Here is a 19,671-nt window from a genome sequence, read left to right on the forward strand (position 1 = left end):
TTTTTTTCTTGCTGATTTGTTTGAGTTCCTTGTAGATTCTGAATGCTATTCTTTTGTCGGATGCATAGTTTGCGAATATTTACTCCCACTCTGTGGGTTGTCTGTTAACTTTGCTAATTTTTTTTTGCTGTGCAGAAGCTTCTTAGTTTAATTAGGTCCCATTTATTTATTTTTGTTGTTGTTGCATTTGCTTTTGGGGTCTTAGTCATGAATTGTTTACTTAAGCTAACATCCAGAAGAGTTTTTCTGATGTTATCTTCTAGCATTTTTATGGTTTCAGATCTTAGATTTGTCTTTCATCTGTCTTGAGATGATTTTTGTATAAGGCAAGAGATGGGGATCCAATTTCATTTTTATACATCTGGCTTGCCAGTTTTCCTAGCACCATTTATTGAATAGAGTAGCCACGAATATTCTGAGTACCCTCAGTAATCAGTGAATGCCTGGCATGCTGGGAGTGTTAGTTTTGTTATGTCCAGGAGAGTGGGGAAGAGAGTCAAGTTTTGGTTTTCTTTTAGAGTGAAACACTTGGTAAAGTAACACTATTCACTGCACCGGGCTCTCACGTGCTGTGCGACATTGCTGGAGACCGTGAGAGAAGAGAAGCTGGAGTCTCCCAAATGCATCTTGGTTTATTTTCAACTTTGTTAAGAAATGAAATATAGAAGATGAATGCTAACACAGAGGGGACAGGAGGCATAAACCAGGCTTGTCTTGGGCAACCCAGGATGAGGTGGTCACTCTAGTGAGGACCAAAGCTCAGCAGTAGTTGGACCATATTGGGAAGAGCTATCAAATTTGACTTCAGTAGTTACTTAGAGCATAGAGTGGTTGGGGAGAGGGACAGCGATGTCACCCCTGACAGTGTGTTCTAATCTGTAAACTCTTCCACACACTTACCTGAGGCTGTTTATGGGTAGTGAGCAGAGGAAGCTCTTCTTTGAATTTTGTGCTTTGTGAATCTTACAGATGCTTCTGAATCTTTGACTTTTCACTCTCCAGGTGAGAATAACAGCACCAGAGATTGAGTAGCTCTTATTTGTTTGAAGACAAATTTTAAACGCAGAGTAGAAAAGCAATAGTCAGTTGATTGATGAGATTTTGACCCCCTCCACTGTATTCCTTTTAGTGATTTGGTACAGGCCACCACCTGCTCTTGCTTGAGCTTCCTACTTGACTTTCGCACCACAGCCAGAGGGGTTATTTAAAAATGTAAATCAGATCATTTCAGCCCTTGCTGAAAATTCTCTAAAAGACTTCCCATCTCACATGGGAAAACCTTTCTGTGCTGAAAAAAGTTCTCCTTAAGGACCTTTTAAACCCTGTTGGCCATGGCTCACCATATGCATTGTATTTTATATTGCCACACAGTACATGCCACACAGTACACACGGGTTTGAAACAGAACTTCCACGAATGATCCTACCTGTATAACATGTGCTGTATCTTGACATTTTCTATTTTCTGTTTCTTCTTTTTTATTTTTTAATTTTTATTTATTTATTTATTTATTTATTTATTTATTTTATTATACTTTAAGTTCTAGGATACATATGCACAATGTGCAGGTTTGTTACATGTGTATACATGTGCCATGTTGGTGTGCTGTAGCCATTAACTCGTCATTTACATTACGTATTTCTCCTAATGCTATCCCTCCCCCCTCCCCCCACCCCACGACAGACCCTGGTGTGTGATGTTCCCCTTCCTGTGTCCAAGTGTTCTCATTGTTCAATTCCCACCTATGAGTGAGAACATGCGGTGTTTGGTTTTTTGTCCTTGTGATAGTTTGCTGAGAATGATGGTTTCCAGCTTCATCCATGTCCCTACAAAGGACATGAACTCATCCTTCTTTATGGCTGCTTAGTATTCCATGGTGTATATGTGCCACATTTCCTTAATCCAGGGTATCATTGATGGACATTTGGGTTGGTTCCAAGTCTTTGCTTTTGTGAATAGTGCCGCAATGAACATACATGTGCATGTGTCTTTATAGCAGCATGATTTATAATCCTTTGGGTATATATCCAGTAATGGGATGGCTGGATTAAATGGTATTTCTAGTTCTAGATCCTTGAGGAGTCGCCACACTGTCTTCCACAATGGTTGAACTAGTTTACACTCCCAACAACAGTGTAAAAGTGTTCCTATTTCTCCACATCCTCTCCAGCACCTGTTGTTTCCTGACTTTTTAATGATTGCCCTTCTAACTGGTGTGAGATGGTATCTCATTGTGGTTTTGATTTGCATTTCTCTGATGGCCAGTGATGATGAGCATTTTTTCATGTGTTTTTTGGCTGCATAAATGTCTTCTTTTGAGAAGTGTCTGTTCATATCCTTCGCCCACTTTTTGATGGGGTTGTTTGATTTTTTCTTGTAAGTTTGTTTGAGTTCTTTGTATATTCTGGATATTAGCCCTTTGTCAAATGGATAGATGGCAAAAATTTTCTCCCATTCTGTAGGTTGCCTGTTCACTCTAATGGTAGTTTCTTTTGCTGTGCAGAAGCTCTTTAGTTTAATTAGATCCCATTTGTCAATTTTGGCTTTTGTTGCCATTGCTTTTGGTGTTTTAGACATGAAGTCCTTGCTCATGCCTATGTCCTGAATGGTATTGCCTAGGTTTTCTTCTAGGGTTTTTATGGTTTTAGGTCTAACATTTAAGTCTTTAATCCATCTTGAATTAATTTTTGTCTAAGGTGTAAGGAAGGGATCCAGTTTCAGCTTTCTACATATGGCTAGCCAGTTTTGCCAGCATCATTTGTTAAATAGGGAATCCTTTCCCCGTTTCTTGTTTTTGTCAGGTTTGTCAAAGATTAGATGATTGTAGACGTGTGGTATTATTTCTGAGGGCTCAATTCTGTTCCATTGGTCTATATCTCTGTTTTGGTACCAGTACCATGCTGTTTTGGTTACTGTAGCCTTGTAGTATAGTTTGAAGTCAGGTAGCGTGATACCTCCAGCTTTGTTCTTTTGGCTTAGGATTGTCTTGGCAATGTGGGCTGTTTTTTGGTTCCATATGAACTTTCAAGTAGTTTTTTCCAATTCTGTGAAGAAAGTCATTAGTAGCTTGATGGGGATGGCATTGAATCTATAAATTACCTTGGGCAGTATGGCCATTTTCACGATATTGATTCTTCCTATCCATGAGCATGGAATGTTCTTCCATTTGTTTGTGTCCTCTTTGATTTCGTTGAGCAGTGGTTTGTAGTTCTCCTTGAAGAGGTCCTTCACATCCCTTGTAAGTTGGATTCCTAGGTATTTTATGCTCTTTGAAGCAATAGTGAATGGGAGTTCACTCATGATTTGGCTCTCTGTCTGTTATTGGTGTATAAGAAGGCTTGTGATTTTTGCACATTGATTTTGTATCCTGAGACTTTGCTGAAGTTGCTTATCAGCTTAAGGAGATTTGGGGTTGAGACGATGGGGTTTTCTAGATATACAATCGTGTCATCTGCAAACAGGTACAATTTGACTTCCTCTTTTTCTAATTGAATACCCTTTATTTCTTTCTCCTGCCTGATTGCCCTGGCCGGAACTTCCAACACTATGTTGAATAGGAGTGGTGGGTGAGAGAGGGCATCCCTGTCTTCTTTCAGTTTTCAAAGGGAATGCTTCCAGTTTTTGTGCATTCAGTATGATATTGGCTGTGAGTTTGTCATAAATAGCTCTTATTATTTTGAGATATGTCCCATCAATACCTAATTTATTGAGAATTTTTAGCAAGAAGGGCTGTTGAATTTTGTCAAAGGCCTTTTCTGCATCTATTGAGATAATGTGGTTTTTGTCTTTGCTTCTGTTTATATGCTGGATTACATTTATTGATTTGTGTACGTTGAACCAGCCTTGCATCCCAGGGATGAAGCCCACTTGATCATGGTGGATAAGCTTTTTGATGTGCTGCTGGATTCGGTTTGCCAGTATTTTATTGAGGATTTTTGCATCGATGTTCATCAGGGATATTGGTCTAAAATTCTCTCTTTTTGTTGTGTCTCTGCTAGGCTTTGGTATCAGGATGATGCTGGCCTCATAAAATGAGTCAGGGAGGATTCCCTCTTTTTCTATTGATTGGAATAGTTTCAGAAGGAATGCTACCAGCTCCTCCTTGTACCTCTGGTAGAATTCGGCTGTGAATCTGTCTGGTCCTGGACTTTTTTTGGTTGGTAAGGTATTGATTATTGCCTCAATTTCAGAGCCTGTTATTGGTCTATTCAGGGATTCAACTTCTTCCTGGTTTAGTCTTGGGAGGATGTATGTGTCCAGGAATTTATCCATTTCTTCTAGATTTTCTAGTTTATTTGCATAGAGGTGTTTATAGTATTCTCTGATGGTAGTTTGTGTTTCTGTGGGATTGGTGGTGATATCCCCTTTTTTTTTTATTGCATCTATTTGATTCTTCTCTGTTTTCTTCTTTATTAGTCTTGCTAGCAGTCTATCAATTTTGTTGATCTTTTCAAAAAACCAGCTCCTGGATTCATTGATTTTTCGAAGGGTTTTTTGTGTCTCTATCTCCTTTAGTTCTGCTCTGATCTCAGTTATTTTTTGCCTTCTGCTAGCTGTTAAATGTGTTCGCTCTTGCTTCTCTAGTTCTTTTAATTGTGATGTTAGGGTGTCAATTTTAGATCTTTCCTGCTTTTTCCTGTGGGCATTTAGTGCTATAAATTTCACTCTACACACTGCTTTAAATGTGTCCCAGAGATTCTGGTATGTTATAACTTTGTTCTCATTGGTTTCAAAGAACATCTTTATTTCTGCCTTCATTTCATTATGTACCCAGTAGTTATTCAGGAGCAGGTTGTTCAGTTTCCATGTAGTTGAGCAGTTTTGAGTGAGTTTCTTAATCCTGATTTCTAGTTTGATTGCACTGTGGTTTGAGAGACAGTTTGTTATAATTTCTGGAGTGCTTTACTTCCAACTATGTGGTCAATTTTGGAATAAGTGTGATATGGTGCTGAGAGGAATGTATAGTCTGTTGATTTAGGGTGGAGAGTTCTGTAGATGTCTATTAGGTCTGCTTGGTGCAGAGATTAGTTCAATTCCTGGATATCCTTGTTAACTTTCTGTCTCGTTGATCTGTCTAATGTTGACAATGGGGTGTTAAAGTCTCCCATGATTATTGTGTGGGAGTCTGAGTCTCTTTGTAGGTCTCTAAGGACTTGCTTTATGAATCTGGGTGCTCCTGTGTTGGGTGCATATATATTTAGGGTAGTTAGCTCTTCTTGTTGAATTGATCTCTTTACCATTATCTAATGGCCTTCTTTGTCTCTTTTCATATTTGTTGGTTTAAGGTCTGTTTTGTCAGCGAATAGGATTGCAACCCCTGCCTTTTTATTGTTTTCCATTTGCTTGGTAGATCTTCCTCCATCCCTTTATTTTCATCCTATGTGTGTCTCTGCATGTGAGATGGGTCTCCTGAATACAGCACATTGATGGGTCTTGACTCTTTATCCAATTTGCCAGTCTGTGTCTTTTAATTGGACCATTTAGCCCATTTACATTTAAGGTTAATATTGTTCTGTGTGAATTTGATCCCGTCATTATGATGTTAGCTGGTTATTTTGCTTGTTAGTTGATGCAGTTTCTTCCTAGCATTGACGGTCTTTACAATTTGGCATGTTTTTTCAGTGGCTGGTACCGGTTGTTCCTTTCCACATTTAGTGCTTCCTTCAGGAGCTCTTTTAGGGCAGGCCTGGTGGTGAGAAAATCTCTCAGCATTTGCTTGTCAAGAATTTTATTTCTCCTTCACTGGAAGCTTAGTTTGGCTGGTTATGAAATTCTGGGTTGAAAATTCTTTTCTTTAAGAATGTTGAATATTGGCCCCCATTCTCTTCAGGCTTGTAGAGTTTCTGCTGAGAGATCAACTGTTTGTCTGATGGGCTTCCCTTTATGGGTAACCCAACCTTTCTCTCTGGCTGCCTTTAACATTTTTTCCTTCATTTCAACTTTGGTGAATCTGACAGTTAGGTGTCTTGGAGTTGCTCTTCTCGAGGAGTATCTTTGTGGCGTTCTCTGTATTTCCTGAATTTGAATGTTGGCCTGCCTTGCTAGGTTGGGGAAGTTCTCCTGGATAATATCCTGCAGAGTGTTTTCCAACTTGGTTCCATTCTCCCCATCACTTTCAGGTACACCAATCAGGTGTAGATTTGGTCTTTTCACATAGTCCCATATTTCTTGGAGGCTTTGTTTGTTTCTTTTTACTCTTTTTTCTCTAAACTTCTCACTTCATTTCATACATTTGATCTTGAATCATTGATACCCTTTCTTCCAGTTGATCGAATCAGCTACTGAAGCTTGTGTATTCATCATGTAGCTCTCGTGCCATGGTTTTCAGCTCCATCAGGTCATTTAAGGACTTCTCTACACTGGTTATTCTAGTTAGCAATTCGTCTAATCTTTTTTTTGAAGGTTTTTATCTTCTTTGCGACTGGTCGAACTTCCTCTTTTAGCTCGGAGTAGTTTGATCATCTGAAGCTATCTTCTCTCAACTCGTCAAAGTCATTCTCTGTCCAGCTTTGTTCTGTTGCTGGCGAGAAGCTGCGTTCCTTTGGACGGGGAGAGGCACTCTGATTTTTAGAATTTTCAGCTTTTCTGCTCTGTTTTTCCCCCATCTTTGTGGTTTCATCTACCTTTGGTCTTTGATGATGGTGACGTACAGATGGGGTTTTGGTGTGGATGTCCTTTCTGTTTGTTAGTTTTCCTTCTAACAGTCAGGACCCTCAGCTGCAGGTCTGTTGGAGTTTGCTGGAGGTCCACTCCAGACCCTGTTTGCCTTGGTGTCAGCAGCAGAGGCTGCAGAACGGCGAATATTGCTGAACAGCAAATGTTGCTGTCTGATCGTTCCTCTGGGAGCTTCGTCTCAGAGGGGTAACCGGCCGTGTGGGGTGTCAGTCTGCTCCTACTGGGGGGTGCCTCCCAGTTAGGCTACTCAGGGGTCAGAGACCCACTTGAGGAGGCAGTCTGTCCATTCTCAGATCTCAAACTCCATGCTGGGAGAACCACTACTCTCTTCAAAGCTGTCAGATAGGGACGTTTAAGTCTGCAGAGGTTTCTGCTGCCTTTTGTTTGGCTATGCCCTGCCCCTGGAAGTGGAGTCTACAGAGGCAGGCAGGCCTCCTGGAGCGGTGGTGGGCTACACCCAGTTCGAGCTTCCCAGCAGCTCTGTTTACCTATTCAGGCCTCAGCAATGGCAGGCACCCCTCCCCCAGCCTCACTGCCACCTTGTAGTTTGATCTCAGACTGCTGTGCTAGCAATGAGCAAGGCTCCGTGGGCGTGGGACCCTCTGAGCCGGGCGTGGGATATAATCTCCTGGTGTGCCGTTTGCTAAGACGATTCGAAAAGCACAGTGTTAGGGTGGGAGTGACCCGATTTTCCAGGTGCCATCTGTCACAGCTTCCCTTGGCTAGGGAGGGGAATTCCCTGACCCCTTGTGCTTCCTGGGTGAGGTGATGCCTCGCCCTGCTTCGGCTCACGCTCAGTGGGCTGCACCCACTGTCCTGCACCCACTGTCCGACAAGCCCCAGTGAGATGAACCCGGTACCTCAGTTGGAAATGCAGAAATCACCCGTCTTCTGCGTTGCTCATGCTGGGAGCTGTAGACTGGAGCTGTTCCTATTCTACCATCTTGGAACCACCTACCTGTTTCTTCTTTTTTAAAAATGCCGGTTGCCACTGACAAAACTGATTTCATGACTTATCTGTGAGTTATTACCCTCATTTTGGAAAATATGTTACTATATGATCTGGGCCTTGTCACCCTCTCTTCCATTTCCCGTACCTGGCCTTGCCTACTTTCCCCTGATTACACTGTGTCCCTGCTTTGCCTTAGATATGACTGTTCACTCTTGCCTTCTCCTCTTTCTGTTACCAGAAAGGGGTCCTGATACAGACCCCAAGAGAGGGTTCTTGGATCTTGCACAAGAAAGAATTTAGGGCGAGTCCAGAGTAAAGTGAAAGCAAGTTTATTAAAAAAGTAAGGGAATAAAAGAATGGTTGCTCCATAGACAGAGCAGCCCTGAGGGCTTCTGGTTGCCTATTTTTAATGGTTATTTCCTGATTATATGCTAAACAAAGGGTGGATTATTTGTGCCTCCCCTTTTTAGACCATATAGGGTAACTTCCTGATGTTGCCATGGCATTTGTAAACTGTCATGGCACTTGTGGGAGTGTGGCAGTGAGGAGGACCAGAGGTCACTCTCATAGCCATTTTGGTTTTGGTGGGTTTTAGCTGGCTTCTTTACTGCAACCTGTTTTATCAGCAAGGTCTTTATGACCTGTATTTTGTGTTGACCTCCAGTCTCATCCTGTGACTTAGAATGCCTTAACCATCTGGGAATGCAGCCCAGTAAGTTTCAGCCTCATTTTACCCAGCCCCTGTGCAAGATGGAATTGCTCTGGTTCAAATGCCTCTGACATTTCTGCCTAGAACACTGTTTCCCTATATGATGGCCTCATTGCTTATTTCACGTGGGGTCCTGCTCAAATGTTTTATTATCAGATTTTCCTGGCTCATGCCCATCCTACATTCTCCATTTTCTTACCCTATATAACTTTTCATTGTAGCTCAGATGTATAATATAGTTAATAGATATTTATGTGTTTATCTCTTATTAGGAAAGGCCTATGAGAATAAGGATTTTGTTTTTTCAGCACTGCTCACTCTCTAGAGCCTCCAGTGGTGTCTGGCACCATTTTGGATAGCCCTTTGATATTAGTTGAATGAATGAATGGTATTCATAGACAGACTTGCATTTATCAAACTCTCCAGGAGGTTTTCTGTCCCTTGTCTGTCTTGTATCTTGTGTAAGTCTTGACTTTGGGTAGAGATCCCTGCAGATTCTGTAAACAAGGCTGGAGCCATTTGATCTAGGAATTCTGGGTCCTGTGTACCTTGAGCATGGACTAGAGGGGAATGTTGGCCCAGGGACAGTCTGTGCCCTTGGCCCCACAGACCCCTGCCCATGGGTAGGAGCACAGCTATGGGTGGGCCAGAGCAGGCTCTAAGTAGAGTGTGGGCCCATCTCATCCCTTTGTAATGTTGGCATCATGTAGGAGCAATATAATTATCAGTTTCTACCTGGGGGCCTGTGGTGAAGATTTTGGTGATCTTTTCTATGGGAACAGAAACAGGGCATTCTGACATCATCATTTCTGCCTGACATTGTGTAGCTGTATCAGGCTGGCTTTCTGGAATAGCTCAGTGGCCAAAGATTGATCACGAAGGGTTTAGAGCTGTGAAAATGCCCCAGGTAGGTGTTGTATAATGCTGGTGCCTGGACCACAGACAGCTGCCTTACTGGTTTACCTACTGTAGTCTGCCTTTCATTCTACCTGTCCTTCACACTGCTGCCTGGCAGTTCCTCTTAATTCAAGAGTCAAGTATTATTATGTGTTATATTTCCTGCTCAATAAGATAATGCATGCTCTTTGTAAGAATGTTTAAATATTAGGGGAATATATAACGTGAGAAAGTAGGAATATAATCTTACCTCTGAAGAAAAACACTTCTATCAATTTGGCATATAGTTTATTTTCTTTGCACATACACCAACAGATACATGTTTTGTGTTCTTTTTGTTTTTATTAACAGTTTTATTTTAAAAAGCACACTGCTGTGCATATTTCTTATTTTTACTGAGTAATGTATCATAATCAGTTTTCTACAACAGTACTTACTGATGTACCTCGTTCTTTTTTTTTTTCTTTTTTTTGAGACGGAGTCTTGCTCTGTTGCCCAGGCTAGAGTACAGTGGCGCAATCTCAGCTCACTGCAACCTCCGCCTCCCAGGTTCAAGCGATTCTTCTGCCTCAGTCCCCTGACTACTGAGACTACAGGCTTGCACCACCATGCCCAGCTAATTTTTGTGCTTTTAGTGGAGACAGGGTTTCACCATATTGACCAGGCTGGTCTCGAACTCCTGACCTCGTGATCCGCCTGCCTCGGCCTCCCAAAGTGCTGGGATTACAGGCGTGAGCCACTGCACCTGGCCTGTACTTCATTCTTTTTAATGGCTGAATTGTATTCTGTTTTTTGGATTTGCTATATATTATTGAACTGGACATGGATCTTGGTGTCATTTCCAACAGTGCTGCCACACATACGTTTTCATGTTTGCATTTGCAAACTTATGTACGTATTTCCATGGGACATATTCTGTGTACTGATTACTTTTTTAAAATACTCCTTTAATTCTGTTACAGCCCTGTTTGGAGATCTTCTCTGACTTCTGGTCACCTGTATCATAAAGTCTAGACTAGAGCCTAGAGCCAATAGAAACATAATGTGAGACATGGAGTCATTTTAAATTTTCAAGTGTACACATTATAAAAAAAATAAAAAGGAACAGGTGAAAATATTTTAATAGCATTTTACTTAGCCAAGTGTACCCCAAATATTATAATTTCATTGTGAAATCAATGTTAAAACGTAATTAGATATTTTACACCCTTCTTTTTGTACTGAATCTTTGAAATCTATGTATTTTACACTTAAAGCACATTTCGATTTGGACTATCCACATTTCAAGGGCTCAGGTAGGCACAAGTGTGTGGCTCCTGATTGGACAGCGCATGTCTACACTCAGCCTGGTGCTTACAGCACTTTACAAGTAAGCCATAGTCAGTCAAACAAGCCACATTCAGTCACATTTAGCCAACCTGCTTTTGCTTCTGACAGCCCCACAAACTTGCAGTGCTTCCGGTTTATTTTTCCTGCATCCTGCCCAGTTTTTTGGGCAGGGTTTCTCAGCTTTGGCACTGTTGAAGTTTGGGACCACATAATTCTAAGTTGTGGGTGCCTTGTAGGATACTGAGCAGTATCCTTGGCCTCTACCCACTAGATACAAGTGGCACCTTCTCCTCTAGAATCCCCCTACCCCATCTGTGGTGACCAAAAATGTCTCTAGACTGAGAAACAATGCTTTACGGTGAATCAGAAATCTCCACTTATCCATTAGGGTTGTTTTAGCCAACTGGATAAGCCTACTGTGACCTACCCTTCCTCTGAACTTGACTTTTTATCCAGCCAGTGTGGTAAGTTTTTATTTTTGTGTATGAGGAACAAAGTTAAAATCAAAATAGAAAAAGCGCCTCCTTTTGTAGGGTTATCATTTGGTGTTACATGCTTTAGGAATACTGTGAAAAATACAGGAACTTCTGCAGAAACACAAATGAAAATGATGGAAAGTCTAGAAAGTAAAGTTGCAGGGAAAATGACCTCCATCTCCACTACGACTTGAACCAGAAATAATAATAATAATAAATTGTGAGAAGAGTATTTGAGGACAAATTTATAACCAACACAAGGGCCTAAAAACCACCAAAATGACATATTAAGGTAAATAGTGGGACTTTTTTCATTGGAGAATTTTAAGAGAAGATATCATTGCCTTCCAATTATGGTTTCATATCTGTTCTCCCCAAAGGCATGTGTACTTAAAACCCCTCTTGGCCCCATAAGAAGATTCTTTGGTCCTGATGAGATTATGTGCATTAGAATCACTTCTCCTGGAAAGGAGACGCTAAAGGGTACTTGAATAAAATATTAAAAATTATGGAGGACATAACAAAGGCCAATCAGTCCTTTCTTTTCCCCAGACCCCATAATAGGAGAACATGGGTTATTTGATGAAATTAAAGAGTAGCAAATTAAGTGCTAATAAAACGAGATAGTCACTTACATAATTCATTGCCATGGGAGGTCACAGAGGCAAATTTTGTGGCTACATTAAATATGGGGCTGGATAATTTTATGACCGCTAATGATATTTTTAGCAGTCAAGGCTGATACTGTGAGAGAAGAAATCCTATTACATTCTCCAGTAGATGGTTTGCAGGGACCTCTGGCAAGAGGTTTCTGAGAAGTGCAAGAGCAGACCTTGTGAGTTCTAACCTTTGGTGTACTCAAAATTGGTTTTTAAGGGGAAAGTTCCCAGGCATCCCATTCATACCTCAGTCCCATATTTTCTTGTAGAGATCCAAAAGCCCTTTCTAGTCTGAAGCAGTGGAGAAAGACATTGCCCAGAATTAAATCCTTTCTGGTCTTTGGGAACCACTCGACTTATTTATCGTATGCCACCCGTGCGTCAGGTCCTTCGCTTGGAGTTTTAAAAAATCTTTTGGGGACATAAACATTTGGACACATCAGTGGCATTCTGAGTGAAGGGGATGTACTAAAGGTGGAATGCAGAGTTTCATGGAAGCACGAAGAAGCAAAGGGATGTCTCAACCTGTGAGGTTCAGGGAAGGCTCCCAGAGAAGGTGACATTTGAATCGACTCTTAAAGGATGAGCAGCAGTTCACTGTTCGCAAAGCAGGGAGGGCATTCTTGGTAGAAGGAGCTTGCAGCATGCACAGATCCAGAGACAGCCTGGCATAATGTGTCAGGGAACTGCCAGTAGTTTAGGAAGGCTGCACCACAGAGGCAGAGGAGCAGTGAGGGAGGAGCTGGGGCTTGAGAATGAGGAAGGAGCCAGATGGTGAAGGAAGAGGCTTGTGTTTGCCTGAGACCCCTCTCCAACAGTGGTGCCAGTGTTTCCAGTGGCGACAGTAGTGGTAGTGGTGCGTTGGGAGTAGAGAATGGGAAGGACTTCAGGGGTGTCCTGTGACCGATAAAGGACAGCCTGTCAAAGCCTTGCCCCACTGAGTAATAGGCCTACCTCTTTTTGATCACGGTCAACAATTAGTTGGCAGTGAGTCTTGGAGTTCACATACTCTTCACTCATTTTTCTATATCTGCTTGAAACAGTCTTTACCATGAACCAAATCAGCATTATCAATCATCTGAGGAGAAAAAAAAAAAGCCTCTTAGGGCTGGGTGCAGTGGCTCATGCCTGTAATCCCAGCACTTTAGGAGGGCGAGGCAGGTAGATCACTTGAGGTCGGGAGTTCGATACCAGCCTGGCCAACATGGTGAAACCCTGTCTCTATTAAAAATACAAAAATTAGCCTGGCGTGGTGGCGCACGCCTGTAGCCCTGGCTCCTTGGGAGGCTGAGGCATGAGTTCGTTTGAACCCGGGAGGTGGAGGTTGCAGTGAGCCAAGATCGTACCACTGCATTCCAGCCTGGGCGACAGAGAGACTGTGTCTGAAAAAAAAAAAAAAGAGGCTCCCCTGCGTTTGAGTAGGGGGTGTTTCTTACAGGTCTTAGATAAATTGGGACGAAGTCTAGAGTGTCTGGTCTGATTTTCTCGGGCTCTGCTAGAACAAAAACAGCCCTTGAGTGGGAAAGCAGAGGCAGATTTCATCGGCCTGACCCCAGACTCCCATTTTCTCTGTGAAGTTGGCTCAGCAAACAAGCAAGAAAACATACAATATCTTTGAGGAGCAGGAGCAGATGGATTGAAATGTTAAAAATCTGGTTTGTTAAATGATTTCAGCTAACAAAATAATTAGAGAGAAAAAGAAGCACCCAAACTCTCTTCCTTCTTCAGTGAAATTTAAATAAGATCATTATTAATCACTCAGAGTCCACCTTGCAATCTCTATACCTTTAATACTGATACTTTTAAGAAGAATGAAATGAAAATGAGTGAGAGAAAGAATGTCATCTGTAAACATTAGTTTAGATGCAAATACTTCAATTTGTATTGTTACATGATACAGTATGTGATTAGCAGTTTTCCTCATTGCATTATAAAGAGTTTTGTAATTAGTGCATTTTTTCTAATGGATAACTTTTTTTCCACAGTACTCTTTTAAGGCTCTTTTAAAAACATGGAATTGCTGGAGAGATATAGAAGTGAGGTTAGTTATAGAAGGTAAATAATGTTCATGTCCGATTTACCGTGAGGCCACCTATGTTTATAGGATATTGGTGGATGAAGTTGAAATATGTGTACCAAACACTGTTGGATGTTAGACACCCAAAGATGAGTAACATCATGGCTGACAATGTACTAAGTACAACGAATGGTTTCACCAGGAATCCTTGATGAATTGATTACAAGTTCTGTGGTAGAGATCTATCCAAATGTTAGCTCTGTCTGGGGAGCTGACAGTGTTTTCACAACAGCTAATATTTAGACTAGGTCTGAAGGTAGAAATTACAGTTAACTGGAAGAGAAGAGAGAGTAGATCAAGGTAGGAGAGAGCATTTCAGAACAAAAGCAACAGAGATAGCTCCTGAAACTTTAAATAATTTGTTTTTTCTTTTTTTCTAACTTCTGTTATATCAGTCAATGTTGTTATTTCTAATACATTTTGAAAAATTTTTCTTTGAAGAAAGAATGGGCTGTATCCTGTCAGCATGCAGTAGGTATTAATCTTGCCAGTAAGCGGGTAGTGAGCACAGATTCTGTAAGCCCCACCATTAGTTCACTTAAGATTTGTTAATCATTTGCTCTCCTGGGCTGGACACTCACCAGTAAGTCTTTGCTCTCAGAGGTGAGGTACGTGGCATGGGTAACACACATTTCCCACGTCGTTAGACATGTCTGTGTGATGAATCAATACAGGTTCTTCCAGTTCCAAATGTATAGGCTGGTACAGAAGCAATTGTGGTTTTTGCCTTTGAAAGTAATGGAGTGATTTTGCATGAAGTATGCCTTTTGTTGACTGGTCTTCCATCAATAAGGTTGTTTATTTATAGTTGTACAAAAAAGAAATATAAGCTTTAAAAAAAGGTTGATGTCAAATGATAAATGTATCCTTTCAAGGACCATGTAAAAATAGGTGACTATATTTAATGAAACTTTAGGTTTCAGAAAGTGTTTTTCTGTCTGTTTTAGACCTTAGCTGGATCTCCAAAATACAAGTGAATCACCCGGCAGTTCTGAGGCGTGCGGAACAAATCCAGGCTCGCAGAACCGTGAAAAAGGAGTGGCAGGTAAGGGTTCTTCTTGAGCATTCTGTGCCTGTATTTTACAATGCATGGTCTCTTCCCTCAAGGCCACAATATTGAATTTCACTCAAGATGCATCTAAACTTAAAAGATTGCAGCTGTCCATGACTTATTTTAATAATTCATATATGATGATGATGGGTTGGAGAAAGATAACACATTTATCCAAACAAGTTAAAATCTTATCACTCTTGAGTGGCAAAACCGCAAATGAATTTGAGGCATCTTTATTCATGAGTGAATTAAATGGCATATTTTCTCAACACATTTATTCAGTTTTTTAGACATGCCTTCTTTGGTTGTCTTCTGTTTTAATTTTAAAGCCCTAACATCTAAACTTGATGTGTCCACTGTTGAGGCCCTTAGGTATAAGAGTTGACCTTTCTTGACCATCATATTTACCTTACTATTACTTTCTATAAATCATTTTTCAAAATTCCAAAAATGATGTTTCGTAGAGTACTTGCGGTCAGCATTTTCTTCAGTGTATCCCAACCAAAGACGTGCTGTGTAGGATTAAAGGGAATTCAGAGTTCATTTCACAAGTGAGACAGAATACTGTGATTGAATCCTTGAGAGTGATAGTTCACGTTTTGCTCATCCTTAGAAATATTCTGGTTGAAAAGGTAAAATAAAATTCATCAGACTGAGTTGTGAAATATGAATATTGTTTTAAAAATGGAATTGGATTAAATTGAAAAAACACCAAAAAACTTGGAAACTTTTAAAAATGATAATCTCATCCCAGATCCCAGAGCGGGAGGTAAAATGTAAGGTAGAAACCTTCTTTCGGAGTTCTTCTTTGTCAGGGTGGCTCTGATGGGCTCTCCCTTTGGCTGAGATGGAGTAGTCAGAAGTGGGGAGACATGGGCTAATAGGGGTTTCAATTTGGGATATCTGTGGGAGAAAAAAAATGTTTAAGCCTACTCTTCCTCCCTTTTATTTTGGGCAGTGTTCACCTTGTTAGTGGCTCTTGAGCTGTGTTTATATCATGTATCAGGATATTCCATTGAACAGTGTAGGCATAAGATATTAACACCCATACTTGTCTAATGATTCTCTACTAACCACCTGGGTTGGAGGTTGGTTGGTTTGTTTATTTATTAAATTTACTTTGTTTTCACTTTTGTTTAAACCAGGCTGCTTGGCTCCTGAAAGCTGTTACCTTTATAGATCTTACTACACTTTCAGGTGATGATACATCTTCCAACATTCAAAGGCTCTGTTATAAAGCCAAATACCCAATCCGGGAAGATCTCTTAAAAGCTTTAAATATGCATGATAAAGGTAATGTTGTTGTGTGTGATCTATGTGGTGTTTAGTGCTTACAATACTGATTACTAAATCAAAGACGACTTAAGATACAGCTGCTAATGATAGCGGTGATAGAATCCATGATAGAAACTCTTGCTGTGTATACATAGACAGATTCTTCTCTGAAAAACAGCAGGAAGAGAATCTGAGTCTTTTTTTTTTTTTTTTTTTGAGGTCAGTTCTTTCCATCAATGGATTAAAATGCTTGGTAGAGAGTGACTTTATTTCTTTTCAGTTCTTCAGTTTTGGAAAATTTCTGTTTAGTGACACTGAAATACTCTTTCTGATTCCCTAGCCATACGTGAAAAAGCCAGTCTCATTACTTAATAATCACATCTCATACATAAAGTATTTTCTGTGAGTATATGAAATACTTTTGAAAATAAAGTGCAAATGAGAAATATAGCCTGCTTATATATTAGGTTAGATCTTTCAAAAAAAGTCATATTCACTGCCTTAGTATACATGAAAAGAAGGACTTTTCTAGAGTTGCCATAAGTTTAGAACCTTAGCATTTTGGAGATGTTGGACACCTGTAAGAATTGATTCCCTTGTTTTCTAAATAAAGAAACAAAGACCTGGAAGGCTAAGCGGCATTCCCAAGGCTACACGTCTTGTTACTTGCTGGGCTGGTTTTGGGAGCCAGGTCTCCTTCCCATGGAGTATGCTTCATGGCCCCCGAGTGCCTATCTGCTGTGAGTGCAACTGGAGACGTTGAATTGGCCCAATGCAGGTCTTTTATCCCAAATAAACACGTTTAGGTTTGTAGGTAACATACAAACCTAAACAACTCTACGGCTTTTGAAAAGTATTTATTATGTTTATTTCGTGTTGGCCATAAAAATATCACCTTATTTATTGCACTTAAAGGTAACAACTTGATGTAAGGTCTTATGATATTGCTTTGTTTTATAGTGACTATTTGAATTCTAAATTTTTTAAAATTTATGAACTTATTTCTTAAAATCAGGGCTTCCGTTTCAGATTTTATTATTTCTTGCAAAAGAGGGAATAGGATTAGTTAAATGTCATTTTTGTGGTACCACCCTCTAAATTGTACTTATATTTGTCTTCATCTGTCCTTCTTCAAACTGTCCTTTCTTCAGGTATGTCCTATGTGAATGCTCTGTAAATATGGATTTTGTTATCTACATGAAATATTTGCATTTAGTAATGATCACCAAATTTACTATTTAGACATTTTTAAAAAACAGTACTATGTTAATCTCAAAGATGAGTATATCAAACTTGTTTTTATGACTTTAACGATAAGAAAATAATCCATATTGTCAAGAACTAGAAGGGAATGTGGAAAATAAAAATCTTTTAATTTATTGCAGTATTGTGGGGGAATTATTTTTTTCTCATTTGATTTTTGCCAGTGTTGCGATATAAATAATAATTAAAAGCATGTTGTATGAGTTGAACTTCATTGAAAGTTGGCTATTCCTATTTTTTCTTGATAGGCATTACTACAGCCGCCGTTTGTGTTTATCCCGCCCGGGTGTGTGATGCTGTAAAAGCACTCAAGGCTGCAGGCTGTAATATCCCTGTGGCATCAGGTAAAATGTGTTGTGGCTTTTGTTGTTATTTTTTAAACATGTTTCCAGTTCTTCATACAATGGGGTATTATATGTAGGTTTGTACTATGATTTAAATTAGTTTATGTATTTAATTAGTTGTATTTATTCATGATTTTAGTATGTACTAATTGCTTAGTAAGTGGAAGACATTTATTCCCAACAATATAGAACTGTATTCCTATCCTTAAAGAAACTCAGTTTAGGAGGAATAGTCAGGTAAAGAAAAAAGTCATAAGGCATGACATATAGTATATATATATATACACACACACACACACACATATACATACTATATATGTATATGTATATATACATATTAACTATATATATAACTATATACATACTAACACACACATGTATGCATGTTCTGTTATACATATATATGTAAAATATAATAATAATGATATGCGGGCTGGGGACGGTGGCTCACAACTATAATCCCAGCACTTTGGGAGGCCGAAGCAGGTGGATCACTTGAGGTCAGGAGTACGAGACCAGCCTGGCCAACATGGCAAAACCCCATCTCTACTAAAAATACAAAAATTAGCCAGGCATGGTGGCAGGTGCCTGTAATCCCAGCTGCTGGGAGGCTGAGGCTGGAGAATCGTTTGAACCTGGGAGGCAGAGGTTGCAGTGAGCTGAGATCATGCCCCTGCACTCCAGCTTGGGTGATAGACCAAGACTCCGTCTCAAAAAAAAAAAAAAAAAAAAAAAAAAACAACGATATGTGCAAAATGTGTAGTTGCGGTTCTGAGCAGGGAATGATATATTCTGCAGAGGTTGGTGACACCAAAGTAAGAGAAAGCATCGTCGTGGAGATAATTGCATTGGATCTTAAAGGATGAGGAGGAGTTCACAGTGTTAATAAGGTAGGGAACCACATGTTAGACAGAGGCACTAGCACGTGTGAAGGCACAAAGCATGTTCAGGGAACTGGAAAAGGTTTGCTGTTGTTGACTACAAAGGCAGGGCTCTGAAGACAGGGCAAAGGGGGAGATACAGGAGTTGAAGCTAGAGAGGGAGATCAGGGCAGAATTGCAGAGGGGATCCATGCCATGTGGGGGCATTTGGCCTGTATTCTGATGATAGGGAAGACACTGAAAGGTTAGAGGCGTGACGTGATCAGCTTCATGGCATAGTAAGTTACCTGATGGTACTGGATAAATTAGAAAAGGAGTGAAATGGAGTTAGGGGAGACTTGTCACAGTACATGCAGGACCTGATAAAAGCCACACAAAACCTAGAAGATAAAGGAGAGAGTGCATTCAGAAGTCACTGACTTCAGATAGACACGGTAGGACTTGGTATGACAGAAAAGTCTTTAAAACATTAGTTTGGTAAATGTGTATCTGTGTGTATATGGATGGATGAATAGACAGATATAAAATTAGATTCTAGTTTTAAGAGATGTTAGAGGAATATCCTGATGCTTTAAAAAGGGAGTCTAGGCCAGGCATGGTGGCTCACATCTGTGATCCCAACACTTTGGGGGGGCTCAGGCGAGAGGATTGATTAAAGCCAGAAGTTTGAGACCAGTGTGGGCAACAAAGATCTCTACAAAAAAATAAAATAAGTAAAAATTTAAAAGGAGTTTATAAAGGTCATTAGCTTATTAGGAATATATTAAAAGAAACATGGTGCACAGTATTTATATAGAATTGATTTATGAGGATTCCTGAAGTATTTGGCAGCTACACTTGTATAGACCTTAATTTTTCATCAGCCTCAGTCAGTTCAGTTTTTGCTTTAAACAACAGAGAAACATGCTTTCCTCTAAGGTAACAGACCTAAGGAATTTTTTTAATTTTTATTTTTTGAGACAGAGTCTCGCTCTATCACCCAGGCTGGAGTGCAGTGGCGCGATCTCGGCTCACTGCAGCCTCCGCCTCCTGAGTTCAAGCAGTTCTCCTGCCTCAGCCTCCCAAGTAGCTAGGGCTACA

The 19,671-nt window shown here is 40.2% G+C and overlaps 1 protein-coding gene across 3 annotated transcripts in view, besides 1 other annotated feature; it reads left to right on the plus strand.

Annotated features, from left to right (window-relative positions):
* Positions 1 to 19,671, plus strand: part of DERA (deoxyribose-phosphate aldolase) — a 126,050-nt gene that overhangs the window by 30,883 nt on the left and 75,496 nt on the right. For all 3 annotated transcript variants that reach the window (XM_024449001.2, NM_015954.4, NM_001300779.2), the window contains exons 2-4: positions 14,722 to 14,819; positions 15,974 to 16,121; positions 17,615 to 17,710. In XM_024449001.2, the coding sequence (XP_024304769.1) occupies positions 16,109 to 16,121; positions 17,615 to 17,710 (109 nt within the window). In that variant the 5' untranslated portion in view covers positions 14,722 to 14,819; positions 15,974 to 16,108. The remainder of the gene's footprint in view (positions 1 to 14,721; positions 14,820 to 15,973; positions 16,122 to 17,614; positions 17,711 to 19,671) is intronic.
* Positions 6,368 to 6,568: a silencer, noted in NCBI's record as "peak1581 fragment used in MPRA reporter construct". NCBI's record gives its function as "represses an SCP1 promoter by STARR-seq MPRAs in K562 erythroleukemia cells {active_cell/tissue: K562}" and the evidence as "EXISTENCE:reporter gene assay evidence [ECO:0000049][PMID:32103011]".

This window comes from Homo sapiens, chromosome 12 (assembly GCF_000001405.40).
Source record: "Homo sapiens chromosome 12, GRCh38.p14 Primary Assembly".
Classification (NCBI taxonomy): domain Eukaryota; kingdom Metazoa; phylum Chordata; class Mammalia; order Primates; family Hominidae; genus Homo; species Homo sapiens.